At 37.1% G+C, this 19,102-nt stretch overlaps 1 protein-coding gene across 39 annotated transcripts in view; it reads left to right on the forward strand.

The window, feature by feature from the left end:
* DENND4C (DENN domain containing 4C) overlaps nt 1-19,102 on the forward strand; it is a 143,769-nt gene that overhangs the window by 104,827 nt on the left and 19,840 nt on the right. For 19 of the 39 annotated variants that reach the window (NR_169842.1, NR_169849.1, NR_169843.1 and 16 more), the window contains 8 exons: nt 931-1,075; nt 1,347-1,493; nt 5,653-5,775; nt 7,294-7,440; nt 10,582-11,747; nt 15,363-15,540; nt 16,734-16,843; nt 17,151-17,326. Coding sequence is in view for 25 of the 39 variants with exons in the window: in NM_001386047.1 (NP_001372976.1) it covers nt 931-1,075; nt 1,347-1,493; nt 5,653-5,775; nt 7,294-7,440; nt 10,582-11,747; nt 15,363-15,540; nt 16,734-16,843; nt 17,151-17,326 (2,192 nt within the window). In the remaining 14 variants the exon portion in view is untranslated. Of the gene's footprint in view, nt 1-930; nt 1,076-1,346; nt 1,494-2,261; nt 2,334-5,652; nt 5,776-7,293; nt 7,441-10,581; nt 11,748-15,362; nt 15,541-16,733; nt 16,844-17,150; nt 17,355-19,102 lie in introns of all 39 variants that reach the window. The other 20 variants (NR_169846.1, XM_047423584.1, NM_017925.7 and 17 more) reach the window with 12 other exon arrangements.

The raw sequence follows: 19,102 nt of genomic DNA on the forward strand, positions 1-19,102 counted from the left end.
GCCTTCATTGTTTTGTGGTGAGAACACTTCTAATCTCTTAGAAATTTTCAAAATACAATACATTGTTATTAACTGTAGTCCCCATGTTGTTCAATAGATTTCTTGAATTTATTTCTCCTACTGAACTGAAGTTTTGTATCCTTTGACCAACATCTTCCAGTGTCCCCTTTCCCCTTACCTCCCAAAGCCCCTGGTAACCATACTTCTAGTCTCTGCTTTTATGGGTTTCACTTTCCTGGATCTCATATATATGTGAGATCTTGCGGTATTTGTCTTTCTGTGCCTGGCTTATTTCACTTACCATAATGTCCTCTGGGTTCATTCATATTGTCACAAATTACTGGGTTTCCTTTTTTATTTCAGGCTGAATAGTATCTCGTTGTGTATATATACCACATTTTCTTCATCCATTCATACATTGATAAACACTTAGGTTGATTTCATATGTTGGTTATTGTGAATAATGCTGCAATAAACATGGGAGTACAGATCTCTCTTCAATATACTGATTTCATTTCTTTTGCATATCTATACCCAGTAATAGGATTGCTGGATGATATGGTAGCTCTAGTTTTAATTTTTTGAGGAAACTCTATACTGTTTGTGAGGAATCTTTTTAATGGCTGTACTAATTTGCATTTCCACCAAGACTGTGTAGGGGTTCTTTTGTCCACATCCTTAATCAACATCTTTTGTTTTTTTTGACAATATTCTAACAAGTATGAGGTGATAAGATATCTCATTGTAGTCTTAATTTGCATTTCTCTGATGTTTAGTAATGTTTAGCATTTTTTAATATACCTCTTGGCCAGTATAACTTTTTATATTTGTGTATATATATATATAAACATACACACACACATATATGTATGTATTTTTAAAATCAGATATTGCTAATGAACATTATTTTTACCCTTATTTTACCTTTAGGTAGTCTTGGAGAGCCCGTGGCCTAGCAGTACCCGCAGTGGTATTTTCTTATGGACGAAGGTACGGAATGTGGTACGTGGCTTGGCACAGTTTAGGCAGCCGCTTAAAAAGACTGTGCAAAGGTCACAGGTCTCCTCAATATCAGGTAATACATGTGATTAGAAATATAATTCCTTACTGAACCATGAGCTTTATAGGCATATGAATTTTTAGCTATGTGAAGTAGAAAACTTAAATTCCGGTAGACATTTTCACATACATTTAAAGACAGATTGTCTTAGTCCAAAATTATTTTTGTTTTTTTCCAGAAATTTAGAAAGTGTTCTGCAACTATAAATGAACTGTGGGTCAATCATGTTTAGTTTAAGAGATTATCAATGCATGAGTTATTGAACTGCTATTGTCCTTATCTTTAGCTCTTCAAAATGTCACAGGTGGAAGTGATGGGGACACGGTGAGCCACGGTAGTGTGGATAGTTCTAATGATGCTAACAATGGGGAGCACACAGTCTTCGTCAGAGATTTAATCAGGCTTGAGTCCATTGATAATCACTCTAGCACAGGTACTAAAATCCAGATTTTACTAACCCTTCACTTACTCTCATGTTAAATCTTTCCTTTTTCAAAAAGCTTCTTCCATTCTTGAGTTTGTGTGATATGACTACTTTAAAAGTACTGTATGCTTACAAGAGAAACAATACGAGTCTGCAGATGACTTCTGTTTATTTCCTATAGTACAAAATTAGTATGGGAGTGCTGTGCACAGTGCTCTAGCATGATGCTTCTTTGTATTTGTTTATCATTAGTTTGTGAAAGTGTATGCTATAATTAGGAATCATGAGCTAAGGAACTTGAAAATTAGTGACACAACTTGCAAATCTTTTTAAAAAATTAAATAGAAAATGTATCTTAAAACTTCAAGAGTATGAATATTAAAGAGGGAAGGAAGGAAGTCACACAATGAGAAAAAGTATTCTCTTTAAGTTACATTTTTTAAGATCTGAGAAGTTATTGAAGCTGCTTTTATGTACATAGCCATGGGAATAATCCCTCTCCTCTGAAGTTAGAAATAAGTGTAACTAAAGTAGCACGTTGTGCAGATATATGTGTGTTACATATCCTTCTTCTTGTGTTGTTTTTTTGTTGTGGTTGTTTTTAATATCTCAAGCCTTCCTTTAAAAAGAATTCTGGGTCTAATTCCTGTGCTTCATCTGATGAACTTGTCTCAATGACTGAAGTTTCCTTTTCTCTGCTCTTTGTTGCTTTGCTTTTTGCTCTGTGCTGTTTCTTGGTGCTGCATTTGTCCTTGGCTGTCATGGTGTGGGGTGCAGACAGACTTATATGACGTGAAGCTATGGATACACGTGTGCATTAATTCTACCCTTGAATGTTAACCACATCAGGTAATTTCCCATTTATTAGGTTAAATTTTGCTGACCTGCAAGGGTGGGGGAAAGACCTTTCATTGTATTTTAAGTTTGTTTTGAGTGGTAAACAGTTTTCATTTTCTTGCCTTTTCTCCTTCAGATAAATGTAATCATATATAGACTCTTGAAAATATCCAGCTAACTTTTTATGGTCAGTTTGCAAAGCATGTTTGTTATCTTATTTGAAAATATATTATGCCTTGCTAAAATTCTTATTTTGAGGTTGGTTTGTAGCATCAGTGTGACAAATAGTGTTATAGGCATTGAAGAATTAATTGTTTCAGCTGTTAAGGTGGTGTGGCCATTGCTTTCCAAAACTTATCTGCTGAATTCTTGTGCTAAAAACAACCTTCACATAATTACAGGAGCATGTGTAAATTTGAAAGTCAACATAAAGCTACAGGTTACAATCCTGTTTGTAATTAACTTCCTCAGTTTGCCATCATGTTTGTATATTATATTAACAAATAAGAATTTTTATGAAACTTTTATTTTAAAGCCACCATATTTTATTTCCTCTAGTATTTTTTTCATGATACTTGTAGAAGAAATGGGCTTCATGTATAAAAAGCAAAAAAATATATTTTTTTGTATGAAAACGTTTACCAGGAATAGTAATAGTAATACATAAACACCTTTCCCCTTATTCCTTCAGATTTTTAAGTTTACCTCATTATAGAGGCAATTTACTCCTTTAATGGAAATACCAATCTCCTAGTAATGCTGGGTAATTGGTATAAAGACTTCAATAGTTGGGCACAAACCTTCAGGTCCCCCTTATATATATTTTAGCTGCATTTCAAATGACCGAATGCCACATACTGAATTTGCAGTGATGGTGTGTCTCTGTAGAACTTCTGGCGATGCCATTTGATGCTTTTGGAGTCTTCAGCCCAGGTGCTTAAGTTGCTCATTTCATTAAGGATTATCTCGTGGAATCTTTCCACTTGGTACCTGGTACAGAGTCACTTAGCTGTTAGGGGCATGTTTGGTTTTAATTCACCCAGGTCCCAGCCTAGTGTTCATTTCATGGCACCACATTGCTTTACCAGACTTTTTGAGGGAGCTAGTAAAAAAGTGACTGAAGTTAGTCATTCTAAGTAGTAGTATTTAAAGACATTTAATTCTTTTGTTGTATGGCAAACCCAGAGTCTGAGTGGCAGTGTAATAAGTGATGGAAAATGGAGGTACTGCATATGTTATTTTATGTGTCTTTTATTGACATCTTTATACTGTTTTCTCTAGTACCTGATCTTAGTTTTGATTTTAAAGTATAGAAGTATAAAGTCAAAAAAGACTTTTAAAATATTTGAAATAACTTCAAACTTACAGAAAAGTTGCAAGAATAATACAGAAAACTCTCATATCTTTTATCTAGATTCCCTTGTTTTTAGTTTGCCACATTTCCTTTATTATTTTCATTCTGCATGCATGCACATACCATTTCTTTTTCCTAAGTCATGTGAGCAGGTTACATACATCTTGCCCTTTTACCTCTTTATTATTTCAGTGGCATTTTCTCTTGTATATAACCACACTTTGGTTACCAAATTCAGGAAAACATTGATATACCACTTTATAATTTATATTCCAAGTTTGTCAGTTATCCCAGTGTTCCTTGTGGTACTTTAACCCCCTTTCTTTAGTCTTCCTTAACCTGGCATAGTTCTTTAGCCTTTAAAAAATCTTTTATGACCTTGGCCTTTTTGAAGAATTCATTTTAATTATTTTGTGGAATGTTTCTTAACTTAGGTTTGTCTGTTATTTCCTAGTGTTTAGGTTATGCATCCATGGGTGTGCTACGTAAATGATGTTGACTCCTTCTCAGGTTGTCACGTCCTACAGGCACACACAGTCTGACCTTCATCGGTGATATTAATTTGGATCACCTAGTCTCACTATTGTCTGGTTTCTCTGTGGATAGTTACTATAATATTTTTTTCCTCTCAGATGATAAGCTATTTTTGAAAGAACACTCTGAGACAATGTGCTAATATCCTTTCTCATGACACTTTCTCTTTTAAATTTGGCATCCATTGATGATGCTTGCCTGAACCAGTCATTACTATGATGGCTACAAAGTGGTGATTTTGCCAACTCTATCACTGTTTTCATATTTAGAAGATGATATTGTAGTATATAGATAATTCTCCATTCTCTATTTTTTTCTTATTTATTATCAGTATGGACTGATGTACTCCTGTTTTATTCATTGAAATATAATTCATTACTGTCCTTATTTGGTCCTCAGATTATCCCCGTGTTGGCCAGTGGGAGCTCCTTTAAGCTAGTTTTTATGTCCTTTAGATATTCTCCTATTATGTTTCTGAGCACTACCTTTTTGGCACAACAGAATGTTCTAGCTCAATCTTGTACCTTCTCTGTCTGAGCTCTGGAATCAGCCATTTCTTCGGGGATCCCAGGTTCTTTTTCATGGGGAATAGATTTTAGAAGCCAAGATTTGGGCTCAGTGTTAACATAGTGTTACTGCTTCTAAACTTTTTTCCTAAGCTAGAAAATACGTGTACTGTACATAAAAAATAATTTCAGAATTGTCACACCCATTTCTCTGTCAAAAACAAACCTACTAAGATGTTCAGGATTTGTCTGTTACTCCCAGGCTTAGGGTAGATACTCAAAATAATGTGTTCAAAGTTACTTGGATTAGTCCTCCCCTGGCCCTTTCAGTGTGATTATGTTATTCATGTGAAATACAGTTGGCTTCATTTGTTTCCATTTGCATTCAGTTGCACCCCTTCTATCTTACTGATTTTATTTTTTTTTTAACATGCAGAAGTGTATTCTATCTCCAAAGATAAAAGCAATACCATAAGCCATACATAGAGAAGTTTTCTCCCTCTTTATTCATTGTATCTTATTTCCCCCCAACCCTGGTAGGTAACCATCTTTACTGTTTTCTGGTTTATTTTGCCTGCATTACTTTTTGCAAAAGTAAGCAGATATATGTGTGTTTTATTCTTACAGAGAAGTTAGCATTCTGTAGACACGGTCTCCAAAAGAGACTTCCAAACATCTTGTCTAAATCTTTTTAATTTACAGATGAAGAAATTAAGATGTAGTGCTTCCAAATGTGTTTAGTCTTTGATGTTCCTGTTTCTACTGTTCTTTGCGGCTTATCATTATTTTTAAAATGTTCTGTGTTCCTTGTGTGCTTTCTTGTCTTCCTTTTGTCTAACCGTAATTGTGTAGATCAGTGGAATTTTCTTGTGATTTTTATATATGAATTATAAGTATATGAAAACATTTATATGTAAGTCTGCATTCTTTTTAACAGGTGGTCAGTCTGACCAAGGATACGGGTCTAAGGATGAACTTATAAAGGATGATGCAGAAATTCATGTGCCTGAAGAACAGGCAGCAAGAGAATTGATAACTAAAACAAAAATGCAAACAGAAGGTTAAGTACTGATATTTACGAACTTTACTTAGAATAATACCTGTATTATTAATAATTAAAAGTTTATCTTAGTTGATAGCTTTGATGATTATTTTCACAAATGTAAGGTCTGGCTCCTAAGATGCTGTGTACTGTTACATAAGGTAGATTTTGGTAGTCTCTGAAGTTTTAAAATTTAAGAGAACTTTCTTTCTTTCTTTTTTTTTTTTTTTTTTTGAGGCAGGGTCTTGCTCTCTCGCCCAGGCTGAGTGCAGTGGCGAGAACATGTATTACTGCAGCCCTATCTCCTGGCCTCATATGATCCTCCTGCCTCAGTCCCCTGTCAGCTGGGACCACAGGCACGTGCCACCACACCCAGCTAATTTTTTTATGTTTTGTAGAGACAAGGTCTCACCATGTTGCCCCGGCTAGTCTTGACCTACTGAGCTCAAGTGATCTTCCTGCCTCAGCCTCCCAAAGTGCTGGGATTACAGGTGTGAGCCACCACACCTGGCTGTAAGATACCTTTAGAGACTCTGTAGGTCAGCCCATAATTTTCCAGGGAAGTGTGACCCATTGAGGTATTTGCCAAAATTACATAGCTACTTTTGACAGAACCAGGACTAAACTTTGAGTTATTAAAACTTCTATTTTAGTGCCCTTTTTAATTCTAAAAGGCTCTTTCACTAGCAGTCCTTCAAATATCTAGGTGCATAGTTTTCATTGGTAGGTTAAAAATAGTCTATGTGGGCTGGGCGTGGTGGCTCACGCCTGTATTCCCAGCACTTTGGGAGGCTGAGGTGGGCGGATCACGTGGTCAGGCGTTTGAGACCAGCCTGGCCAACGTGGCGAAACCCCGTCTCTACTAAAAATACAAAAATTAGCCAGGCATAGTGGCAGCACCTCTGTAATCCCAGGTACTGGGGAGGCTGAGGCAGGAGAGTCATTTGAACCTGGGAAGCGAAAGTTGCAGTCAGCCAATATTGTGCCATTGCACTCTAGCCTGGGCGACAAGAGCAAGACTCCATCTCAAAAAAAAAAAAAAAAAAAAAAAGTCTATGTGGTTTTTCCCGGTTTTTATAGGACTCATTAAGGCAGAGATAATTTGTTGTAATCATTTTATGAAAACATGGAGGAATATTTTGGCTTATGGAATAAGACACTCTTCCTGTTCTCTATCACAAAAGTGTACTTTCTTTAATGTTATTTATTTTATACTCCAGAGTTATGGAGAAACAAGCCCCTCTCCATTTGCCAAGTGATGAGAAGGAGAACTGAAGGCCAGAGACTTAATTGATTCACTAAAGAACATTTATGTTAGGATTATTGAATGCTAAAACAAAGCATTTATTTCAGTTAATATTGGCAGCATTTATGGCATAAAGTAAACCAGACACAGTCTATTTTACTTTGTGTCTAAAGTAAAATAGACACACTGACTGTTGGAGAAAAATACATACAATATCTAAAAGTCAATATATGGTTTCTGTTTAATATTGGCAAAAGTAGGAATGATAACATCCAAATATTTTTTTCCAGAGGTGTGTGATGCCTCTGCTATTGTGGCAAAACATTCACAACCTAGTCCAGAGCCTCACAGTCCTACTGAACCTCCTGCATGGGGCAGCAGTATTGTGAAAGTTCCGTCTGGTATATTTGATGTCAACAGCAGGAAAAGTAGCACTGGTGAGTCTTTACATTTTGGTTATTAAATATTTAAAATATACTTTTATAGACTCATATGTGTCTTTAATGACATTAAATTTTTGACTTAATTGTAATGAACATGCTAAAGAGCCAGAAGGGACTTTTGAATTCTCTAAATCGGCTAAAGAAATTGAAAATATTGTTATTTAAAGGTGTTTGATTTTTAAAAGGAGTATTTAGTGTGTTTGTTATTTGGAATACCCTTTCCTGTTGTGGTGCCTGTCCACCGTTTGGCCACTCTTTCTCATTATAGATAATAAGAAAGTGTACTTTTAGGGCTTCCTGTATGCATCATGAACAGGCAGTGATGTGATCAAATTCCAGAGGGCTTATGAGTGGCAGGCTAATTCCTATCACTGAAGGGAAATGGAAGAAAAAGATTCACGTCATTTCCCCTCTACACAGATATGCCAGTGGATCTTTGATTTTGGCCATTGTTATAGGTACCCCAAGCCATTTTTTATTTGTGATTAAGTGTTTGTACTAAATAACTCTGTGTGTATGACTCCCTTGAATTTGAGTTTTCTACTTTCATTATATATATAGGTCTCCCAAGACTCTTATGGCACATATCCAAGTATATGATTTTAAAAGACAATGAAATTGGCCTGCATCCTTTGCCCTTCATTAGTGGTGGCTGCAGTTGACTTTTCTGAAGTTGACTGTCTTGTCTGAAAATGTATCTATTGTATGACTGTACAGAAATTAATTTGTTCAGCTTCTTAAACCAATGTAAAAGTACTCCTTGTTCTTAAAGTCTTTTCTCTTTGTATTTACCGTGACTCCGAGTTTCACTCATTACTTGTTTGGGTAGTGCTCAAGAGGTGGGGCTAAAGATTTTTTGAGAAAATAATTGATATATACATTGCAGATTCCATTTTCCTAACCTCTTGATAGCAGAGATACTGGGGAAAAGGAGGGAAGAGTTTTCTTCGTCAGAGGCTTAGAATCCTCTCAAAATATTGAACTGGACATCGTCTGTGGACTGTTGTGTTTCCTTCCCTTTTAACTTATTTTCATATTAAGAACGAAGGGCGAGGATAATGGGGCTTTTGTCAGTATAGCAAATTTTTTTTAAAAAACATTGAATAAAATGTGCCGTTAAATTCCTTGGAAATACTATGAGAACCAATAATATTTGCAAGGATTTGTTTCTCAAATATTGGGACCAGCTTTCAAAGCAGGTACATATTTTGAGTTGTAAAATAGGTTAGTTTAATTCCCGTGAAGGCTTAAAAGAATATCTCTAAATGCTTATTCTGATTAATTGATATGATTATCAGTACTAACTTGAAAGATTAAAAAGAACCTTGAAATCAATCTTGAAGTTTAAAAGAAAGATCTTATCTAAGACAGCTTTTTTCCTTGAAGCACCCAGATATTGTTATGCTTTTTAACAAAACAAATGATGTGACTACAGTAAAAAGCAATGGATAAAAAAGAAAACGAAGGAAAAGAAAAACACAAATGAGAATCCTAAATATGAATAACTCAGGCTGCTATACAGTTCCACAGACTAGGTGACTTATAAACAACAGAAATTTATTTCTGCCGGGCTCAGTGGCTCATGCCTGTAATCCCAGCAATTTGGCAGGCTGGAGGGAAAGATCGCTTGAGGCCAGGAGATTGAGGCTGTAGTGAGCCATGATTGCACCACTGTACTCTCCACCCTAGGTGACAGAGCAAGACCCTAACTTTGTTTGTTTGTTTTTGAGACAGACTCTCACTCTGTCGCCTAGGCTGGAGTGTAGTGGCACAGTCATGGCTCACTGCAGCCTCAACTTCCTGGGCTCAGGCAATTGAGGATTCTCCCGCCTCAGACCCCCAAGTAGCTGGGACTACAGGCGAATGCCACCACATCTGGCTAATTTTTGTATTTTTTTGCGGAGACAGGGTTTCTCCATGTTGCCCAGGCTGGTCTCGAGCTCCTGAGCTCAGGTGATCCGCCTGCCTCAGCCTCCCAAAGTGCTGGGATTACAGGTGTGAGCCACCATGCCCGGCATAACCCTAACTTAAAAAAAAATAAAAGAAAGAAATTTATTTCTTATAGTTCTAGGGGCTGGAAAGTCCAGGGTTAGGGTGTTAGCATGGTGAGTTCTGCAGAGGGCCCTCTTCCAGGTTGCAGAGTGCTAACTTATTGTATCCTCGTACAGCAGAGAAGGAGAGAGCTCTCCTTTAAGGGCTCTAATCCCATTCATCAGGGTTCCACTTTCATGATCAAATTATCTTTCAAAGGCCCTGCCTCCTAATACTGTCACACTGAGGGTTAGGATTTTAGCATGTGGATTTTGGCGGACACAAACATTCAGTCCATAACAGGTAGACTTAAGTTCTAATAATGATTCAAATAGGAAATAACAGCTTTTGGTCTTGGAGTGAAACAAATTGCATGGTAGCCAAGAGTAAAAGACTGCTTTCTTTTTCCAAAGCTGGGGGAAGCTGCTATGGCCATTAGCATATTTTTTCTCTACCTGATCAAATAAGACTGACTTCTGTGAAGGCTAGGATTATGTCTGTTTTATTTGCCTTTATATTCCTAGCACCTCATATAGTGGCTACTAGTAGACGTTTAGTATTTGTTGAAGAAATGGATATATCTGAATAATTTTTTAACCACTCAGATTTTATCAGCCTTCTTAGAATTTGCCAGTGCTAAGCATTCCATTCCGGATTATTTTACTTTACAGCAGTAAGACTTTGAGTATAGCAAATATACAATTCCTATAAGATTACAAATTTGCTTTTTGCAGAGTAGATTACTGGCAAGTATTTGTTGAATTGGATACAAAACTAAGATGGAAGAGATTCTTTCTTTTTCTGTATTTTAGTGAAGAACACAGGTATATCCATCTATCATATGTTGCATGATTTGTTTTTTTAAATGGGTGTTTATATAAATATAGGATGAAAGACAGGTTATACATTAAAATGTCCCTGGGAGGCAAGTTTTAAATAGCTTTTCCAGTGCACTTTTTTTTATACTTTCTTTATGGCCTCTAAATTTTCTGGATCTTTTATTCTGAGTATATGTCACATTCATAATCAGGAAAACAATAAATATTTTAATAAAAGTTAACTTGGAAAATAGGTTCATTGTTAATATTTTACTTTCCCTTTTAGGTAGTATATCAAATGTGCTGTTTTCTACTCAAGATCCAGTTGAAGATGCAGTCTTTGGCGAAGCTACTAATCTCAAGAAGAATGGTGATAGAGGAGAAAAAAGACAAAAGCATTTTCCTGAGAGGAGTTGTAGTTTTAGTTCTGAAAGTCGAGCAGGAATGTTGCTTAAGAAGAGTAGTTTGGATTCGAATTCAAGTGAAATGGCTATCATGATGGGAGCAGATGCCAAGATTCTCACAGCAGCATTGACATGTCCTAAGACTTCTCTACTTCATATTGCAAGAACCCATAGCTTTGAGAATGTTAGCTGTCACCTACCTGATAGTAGGACTTGTATGTCTGAAAGCACTTGGAATCCTGAGCACAGATCATCTCCGGTGCCAGAGATGCTTGAGGAAAGCCAAGAACTCCTTGAGCCTGTGGTTGATGACGTACCTAAAACTACTGCAACAGTAGATACATATGAGAGTCTACTAAGTGATAGTAACAGTAATCAGTCCAGAGACTTGAAAACAGTATCCAAAGATCTGAGGAATAAGAGAAGTAGTTTATATGGTATTGCTAAGGTGGTTCAGAGGGAAGATGTTGAAACTGGACTAGATCCTTTGTCTCTTTTAGCCACTGAATGTACAGGAGGAAAAACTCCTGATTCTGAAGATAAGTTGTTTTCTCCAGTTATTGCACGTAATCTGGCTGATGAAATAGAAAGCTATATGAACCTAAAAAGTCCCCTAGGTAGTAAATCTTCTAGTATGGAATTACACAGAGAGGAAAACAGAGAGTCTGGCATGACTACTGCATTTATTCATGCTCTAGAGAGGAGATCAAGCCTACCTTTAGATCATGGTTCACCAGCACAGGAAAATCCTGAAAGTGAAAAGAGCTCACCTGCAGTGTCCAGGTCTAAAACTTTTACTGGGCGTTTCAAGCAGCAAACCCCCTCTCGAACTCATAAAGAACGTTCAACTTCTTTGTCAGCACTGGTGCGTTCTTCGCCACATGGCTCGTTGGGTTCTGTAGTAAATTCTTTGTCAGGGCTAAAGCTGGATAATATACTCTCAGGGCCCAAGATAGATGTCCTGAAATCTGGTATGAAACAAGCAGCGACAGTAGCCAGTAAGATGTGGGTAGCTGTTGCGTCTGCCTACAGCTACTCAGATGATGAGGTAAGAAAGCTTTATGTGTGTAGTCTGTCTGCTATTGGAGTGTTTATAGTATCTTTCTAGAAATATATGTATTCTTGTTCAGAGATTTCTGTGCCCAGGCTGGAGTACAGTGGCATGATTTTGGCTGTCTGCAACCTCTGCCTCCCGGCTTTGAGCGATTCTCTTGCCTGAGTAGTTGGGTCTATAGGGGTGTGCCACCATGCCCAGCTAATTTTTGTATTTTTAGTAGAGATGAGGTTTCACCATGTTGGCCAGGCTGGTCTTGAACTCCTCACCTCAGGTGATCCAACTGCATCAGCCTCCCAAAGTGCTGGGATTACAGGCATGAGCCACCATGCCTGGCTGATTTCTGGTAACTTTGGTTTTTATATTTTGCATAGTCTATCTAATATAGAATAGTCTATCTGTAGTCTATTTTGTGTAGTCTATCTGATATGGAATGTTTGTATATCTTTTTAAAAATATGTGAAGGATTATTAAGACAGTTCTGGTAACTTTGGTTTTCATATTTAAAAACTATGCATATTTGGTTTCTTTCTTGAAGTAACTTGAACCGTATATGTAAGGAAGTTAATAATGTAGAAATAGAATATTGGGACCATTTTATAATTCCATACACTAGTCTAAACTAAAACATTATTTATTTCTTTGAAAGCTCTAATGATTAGTGTTTGAAGTTAATAAAAATGCCATGTTATATTTGTGTAGCATTCACTTTTAAAATAATTTTTACCTATGTAATCTCCTTAATACATATGAAGTCAAGCTGCAGCTTAATCCATGGATTTCATACCACATGGCAAAAATAATTGTCTTTAAAAAAACGTTATACATAGAGTTAATCATTAGATCTTTTGGTAAAAACAAAAGTGGGTAAGTTTTGCTTGTTTTACAGAAAAAAATTGAAATTTCACCTTGTATGAAATTGTATAGTATTTGAGTACTTTAGTAGATAAGGCAGATATGTATAATGTTTGCTCTCGTTATTTAACAGTATGTCCTAGGTACTGTTATAAGCTATATGTCTGGTTTTATATATGAATATATACAAACATAGGTATTTGTTTAATTTTCACAGCAACCCCATGAGGGTGGTACTGTTGTTATCCTGATTTTGTAGATGATATTTGAAACTCAGAGAGGCTAATTAGCTTCTCAAGATGATACAACTAGGGAATAGTAGAACTATGATTTGAAGTCAGAGAGATTGGCTCTAGAGTCCATGCTCTTACCTTAGAAGCGATATCTCAGGAGAAGATACCAAAGAGCAATATATGAAAAGAGGTTCAGGTTGGGGGCTATCCAGAAAAAAAGCAAAGCAGGTGATATCTAATTTAGGATTTGAAGGATAAATTTGACATTTGGGGTTAAAGCTGTAAGAAGAGTGTCAGAAGAGTATATCTGAAAGAATAATGTGAAATGGCTTGGAAGCTTAAAGCATCATGTACTTTCAAGGTAATATAATCAATTTCAGATCGTAAAAGGTCTAAATTGGAATTAGAGACGTGGGAAAAAAAATTAGACGTATAAGACTTTTATACCATTTGAAGGAATACTTTATAGACAAAATAATAATTGAATTAAAAGTATAGTATTGAACATTATAAATTAACTATTTTGTATTTAAAGAGCTTACGAGGTCAGTCAAGGGAAGGCGAAATAAAATAGCTTCCAAACTGTCTTAATCTGGCATTATGATAAAAAAGAAAAAAAAAAGTGTATCATTTTATTTTATTTTTTGAGACAGGCACTTGCTCTGTTACCCAAGCTGGAATACAGTGGCACAGGGATGGCTCACTGTAGCCTTGACCCCCTGGGCTCAAGCAATCCTCCTGCCTCAGCCTCCTGATTGCTAGGACTCCAGGCGTGCCCCACCATGACTGCTAATATTTTATTTTTTGTAGAGATAGGGTCTTGCTATGTTGCCCAAGCTGGTCTTGGACTCCTGGGCTCAAGTGTTCCTAGGTCTCCCAAAGTGCTGGGATTACAGCCATGAGCCACTGCACCCGGCCTTTGTTTTATTTTTGAAATTTTATTGAGGTTGGTTATGAGGACTCATGCCTGTAATCCCAGCACTTTCAGAGGTTGAAGTGGGCATTTGCTTGAGCCCAGGAGTTTGAGCCTAGCATGGGCAACATGGTGAAACCCCATCTATACAAAAAAATACAAAAATTAGCTGGGCGTGATGTCATGTACCTGTAGTCTCAGCTACTCCAGAAGGTGAGGTGGGAGGATAGCTTGAGCCCAGGAGGCAGAGGTCGCAGTGAGCCGAGATCACACCACTGCACTCCAGCCTGGGTGATAGAGACCCTTTCTCCCTTGCCTCCCCAAAAATTATCTGTTAAAAACAGAAGTACATTACACAGGGATATGTGGACTTGGAATATGTGACACTGTAAATTCCAAGTCACTGTGGATCTTGTCTTGTCTTTTCATTGTTACATCCCTGGCACCAGTAAGCAGTACCTGGCAAAAGGCAAATAGGAGATACCTAATAAATATTTACACATGAAGGAATGAATGAAAAGTCTATAAAATGTTTTTAACTTTCATCCCGAGTTTAAGGAATTAATTAGAGGTATATGTAAAAATAGAGGAATTTACCAATGTAATTTATATAAGATTGAAGCATTTTGAATGTTTAAGCAACAGGGGAGTTAGTAAATACATAATAGTATATCAGTAAAACAGATTAGTTCACAGGTGTTTAAATAATTAGAAGAAAATTTAATGACATTAAAATAATTACATAAGAAGTACAGGTGAAAAACAATATTCTAATTTGTAAAGATTTATATGATTTTATATGTATGTTTTAAATGACTAGAAAGATGTATATCAAGATTTTGATTATATTCTCTGACTGTTGATATCATAAGCATTTTTCATTCCTTGTTTTGCTTATCTGTATTTAATTTTTTAAAATCATGTAACATGGTTTTATAACAAGGAAGACACAAATCTTTCATTTTTAAAGCAAAAAAACCTGATTGTTGAAATGTTTTCTACCTAAAGCTTCAACAATCACCTATGTAGTTAAGAACTACAGTGTTTGAAACTTTATTCATGTTTCTTGGCTCTAATATTGATATTTGTTATTCTGAACATTCAGATTCCCAGCCGAAATTATCACAGCAGCTTTATTTGAAACAACTCATATTATCCATATTTTCAGATTACATAATTAAAAGTTAAAGAAGTTTAGTAATTTCTGTAAGTTTACATATCTAATAAATGGTGGAGAACAAGGTCACAATCTGGCTGTCTGATTCAAAAACCCCTACTCTACTTGTACTGGGATTCCTGATTCCATTGGAGACAGTGGGCTCCCTAGAATTCTGTTATTTTATAAGATTCAATATTGAGAGACACCCAGACCTCCCACATACACCTGAGGCACACCACGATCTTTCTTAAAGTATTGTTGCTTATGGCTTGAATGTCTTAGAGTGTGGAAGTGAAATAATAGTGAGGAGATTTCATGGTTTTGAAAAATGTGGGGATGATGATTTGTTTAAGGATTATAGAGTTTAATTTTGAAAAGGGTAGAGTGGGTATAATCCCACTGGAGAAGGTATTATTTATGTATGTGGAATTTTTTTTTTTCAATTAAAGGAAGAAACTAATAGAGACTACAGCTTCCCAGCTGGCCTAGAAGACCATATTTTGGGGGAGAATATATCGCCTAACACAAGTATCTCAGGGTTGGTCCCCAGTGAACTTACCCAGAGCAACACAAGTCTTGGCAGTAGCAGCAGTAGTGGAGATGTAGGAAAACTGCATTATCCAACAGGTATGGGGAAGGATTATCCTTTCTTCATTTGCTTTATAATAGTTTTTGCTTTTTTTTTTTAATTTAAGAGACGGGGTTTTGTCTTGTTGCCCAGGCTGGTCTCGAACTCCTGGGCTCAAGCAATCTGCCTGCCTCGGCCTCCCAAAGTGCTGGGATTACAAGCGTGAGCCACAGCGCCTGGCCTGTCTTTGCTTATTTTAATTTAGATGCCTGTAACTCCCCGCTCAATAAGCCCCATTTGTTGAAATGATTGAGAGATTTTTAATACTAGCCGCCTTATGATCTATTCTGATCTTGTATGATTTATAACTACTGTGGTCACCTACTGCCTTTGTTTTTAGTTGTATATATTCACGGATTATATCATTAGTTCTCAAACTTTGGCATGCATCAGAATAATCTGGGAAATTTGTTTCAAAATAAATGCAAATGTCCAAGCCTAACGCTAAAACTTCTGAGACTGAATTTGTGAGATGGGGCCTTGGGAATGTGTATTTTTAAGCAGTTCTCTGGGTGAATCCGATGTATACCAGAGTTGGAGAATCACTAGGATGTGTCATTGAAGTTTCTTACTCCATGTTACTTTTTAAAATTATAATTCGGTTCTTTTTCTCTGACTTTTTACTGTAAAAATTTAAAATGTCCAAACCGGACACAGTGGCTCATGCCTGTAATCCTAGCACTTCGGGAGGCAAGGCGGGTGGATTGCCTGAGCTCAGGAGTTCAAGACCAGCCTGGGCAACACAGTGAAACCGTCTCTACTAAAATACAAAAAAAATTAGCCAGGCGTGGCAGCGTGCGCCTGTAATCCCAGCTACCTGGGAGGCGGAGGCAGGAGAATCACTTGAACCTGGGAGGCAGAGGTTGCAGTGAGCCGAGATTGTACCACTGCACTCTAGCCTGGGCAACAGAGCGAGACTCCATCTAAAAAAAAAAAAAAGAAAAGAAAAAAAAATTTCAAATGTCCTGAAAGTTGAAAGAATCGTATAATGAACAATCATGTATTTTCCACCTAGATTTAATTAACTATTGTTAACTTTATCTCTTTCTATGTATGCATACATTTTTATACTGAGCCACTTGAAAAACAGTTGCAGACTTTATTCTGTGTCCCCCCTAAATACTTTGGCATGCATTTTCAAAAAACAAGGACATTCCTTACTTAAGGTATTACGATGTATATTCCTTTGTAGGTGAAGTTCCATTTCCAAGAGGCATGAAAGGGCAAGACTTTGAAAAATCAGATCATGGTTCTTCTCAAAATACCAGCATGTCTAGCATCTATCAGAATTGTGCAATGGAGGTAAAAGTTCTATATTCAGTTCATGATAAAGTAGCTGTAAGCATATTTTTATTTCAGAATGGCATTTAACAGGATTCTAAGATACCCTTGTGGACAGTATAATAAAATAAGTCATTTTGTTGAATTTGCTTGATGTCTTATGTAAGTAAGACATTGAACTGGTAGTTTACCTGTGAAATAAAAGAACTGTTATTAATAATTCCAAATTTGATCAGTAGAATAAAAAAAATCCCATTATCTCAAGAGAATTCCTGTTAAGATTAATTTTTATTAAACGTTCTCAGTGTCTGCATTTTTCTGTTTTTAGGTTTTGATGTCCAGTTGTTCACAGTGTAGAGCTTGTGGAGCTTTAGTTTATGATGAAGAAATTATGGCTGGATGGACAGCAGATGACTCAAATTTGAATACAGCTTGTCCATTCTGTAAAAGCAACTTCTTGCCTCTTCTCAATATAGAATTCAAAGATTTGAGAGGTTCTGCAAGGTTAGTCTTATAAAAGCTCTCTCAAGAAGTAAGTACCCTCAAAAAACACGACTTCTGGGAGAAGAGTGAAATATTCCTGGTATGCTCCAGGTCTGCCTTCCTGTCTGTCCTTCACCTTCAGTATTTGAGTAGCAAATACTAGTAATGTGGGAGTCTACTTTTCCATTTTATTTAAAGTAAGATTATCAGCCGGGCTCCGTGGCTCATGCTGTAATCTCAACACTTTGCGAGGCCCAGGTGGGAGGATTGCTTGAGGTCAGGAGTTCAAGACCAGCCTGGGCAACATGGCAAGACCCTGTCTCTACAAAAGATTTTTTAAAATTAGCTGGGCATGGTAGTGTGCACCTGTGGTAGCAGTTACTAGGAAGGCTGACATAGGAGGATCGCGTGAGCCCAGGAGTTTGAAGCTGCAGTGAGTATATATTTTAGAAGAAACAAAGGGGAAAAAAAGGCTTCAACTCTTCTCTTGTCACTTGCACGTCCTAGTAGTATTCTGTGCAGTGAAATGACCAAATTCTAGGCAATAGATATAAGACTAGCTGATCTATAATTATACATAAAATAATTGAGAGTTTGGTGACTCTGTGCTGACCTAGGGAATTATACTTAATATTCCATTCATTTTATGGAACAAATTGAACTTTTTATTTCCTGCCTTTAGCTGCTTTAAAAAAAATACACTGCCAGGTGTGGTGGCTCACACCTTAATCCTAGCACTTTGGGAGGCCCAGACAGGTGGATTGCCTGAGCTCAGGAGTTCGAGACCAGCCTGGGCAACACAGTGAAACCCTGTCTCTACTAAAATACAAAAGATTAGCCAGGTGTGGCGGCGTGCGCCTGTAGTCCCAGGCACCCGGGAGGCTGAGGCAGGAGAATTGCTTGAACCTGGGAGGTGGAGGTTGCAGTGAGCTGAGATTGCACCACTGCACTCCAGTCTGGGTGACAGAGAGAGACTCTGTCTCTGAAAAAACAACAAAAACATTTAGGCTGGGCATGATGGCTCATGCCTGTAATCCCAGTACTTTGGGAGGCCGAGGCAGGCAGATCACTTGAGGTCAGGAGTTCGAGACCAGCCTGGGCAACATGGCAAAACCCCATCTCTACAAAAAAATACAAAAAAGGTTAGCCCGACACCATGGCACATGCCTGTAGTCCCAGCAACCAGGAGGCTGAGGCAGGAAAATGGTTTGAACCCAGGAGGCGAAGGTTGCAGTGAGCTGAAATCACACCATTTAATTGTAGAGGTGTTTCTTCTCTGTTTTTTCTTTTAGCTTCAAGGGTGGAGCTAAGTCAAATCATACTCTTTAATTCCTGACACACTATCATCTTTGGACTGTGCAAGGGCCCTCTCGTGTTTATCCTCCTTTCCTCATTCCCACCCTCATTCCCCTATTCTACGAAGACACTGACTCTGCTAAGTGTGATATATATCTAAATTTACTTCTTTTTATTGCTCTATTTTAAATCTGGGTTACTATATGTACATCTAGTTTATTCCTTTTCTTCTACAGGAAGTTAATATACCTTTCTACTTATCCATTATTCTAGTGTTGGGTACTTCAGTTACTTTCAGTTCTCTGTTACTACAAACACCACGGTAGTAATGCAGTGCACTGCAAAATACATGTCCCCTTTTGGACTTGTGAAGTAGTTTCTCTAAGAAAACGATAATCCTTGGAGTAAGATCATTTTCATACATGATTTTAGTAAACACAAAATATTGCTTCCTAGACGGCTGCACTCCCACAAGTAGTACCCAAGAATTCTCATTTCTAT

This window comes from Homo sapiens, chromosome 9, assembly GCF_000001405.40.
Source record: "Homo sapiens chromosome 9, GRCh38.p14 Primary Assembly".
Classification (NCBI taxonomy): domain Eukaryota; kingdom Metazoa; phylum Chordata; class Mammalia; order Primates; family Hominidae; genus Homo; species Homo sapiens.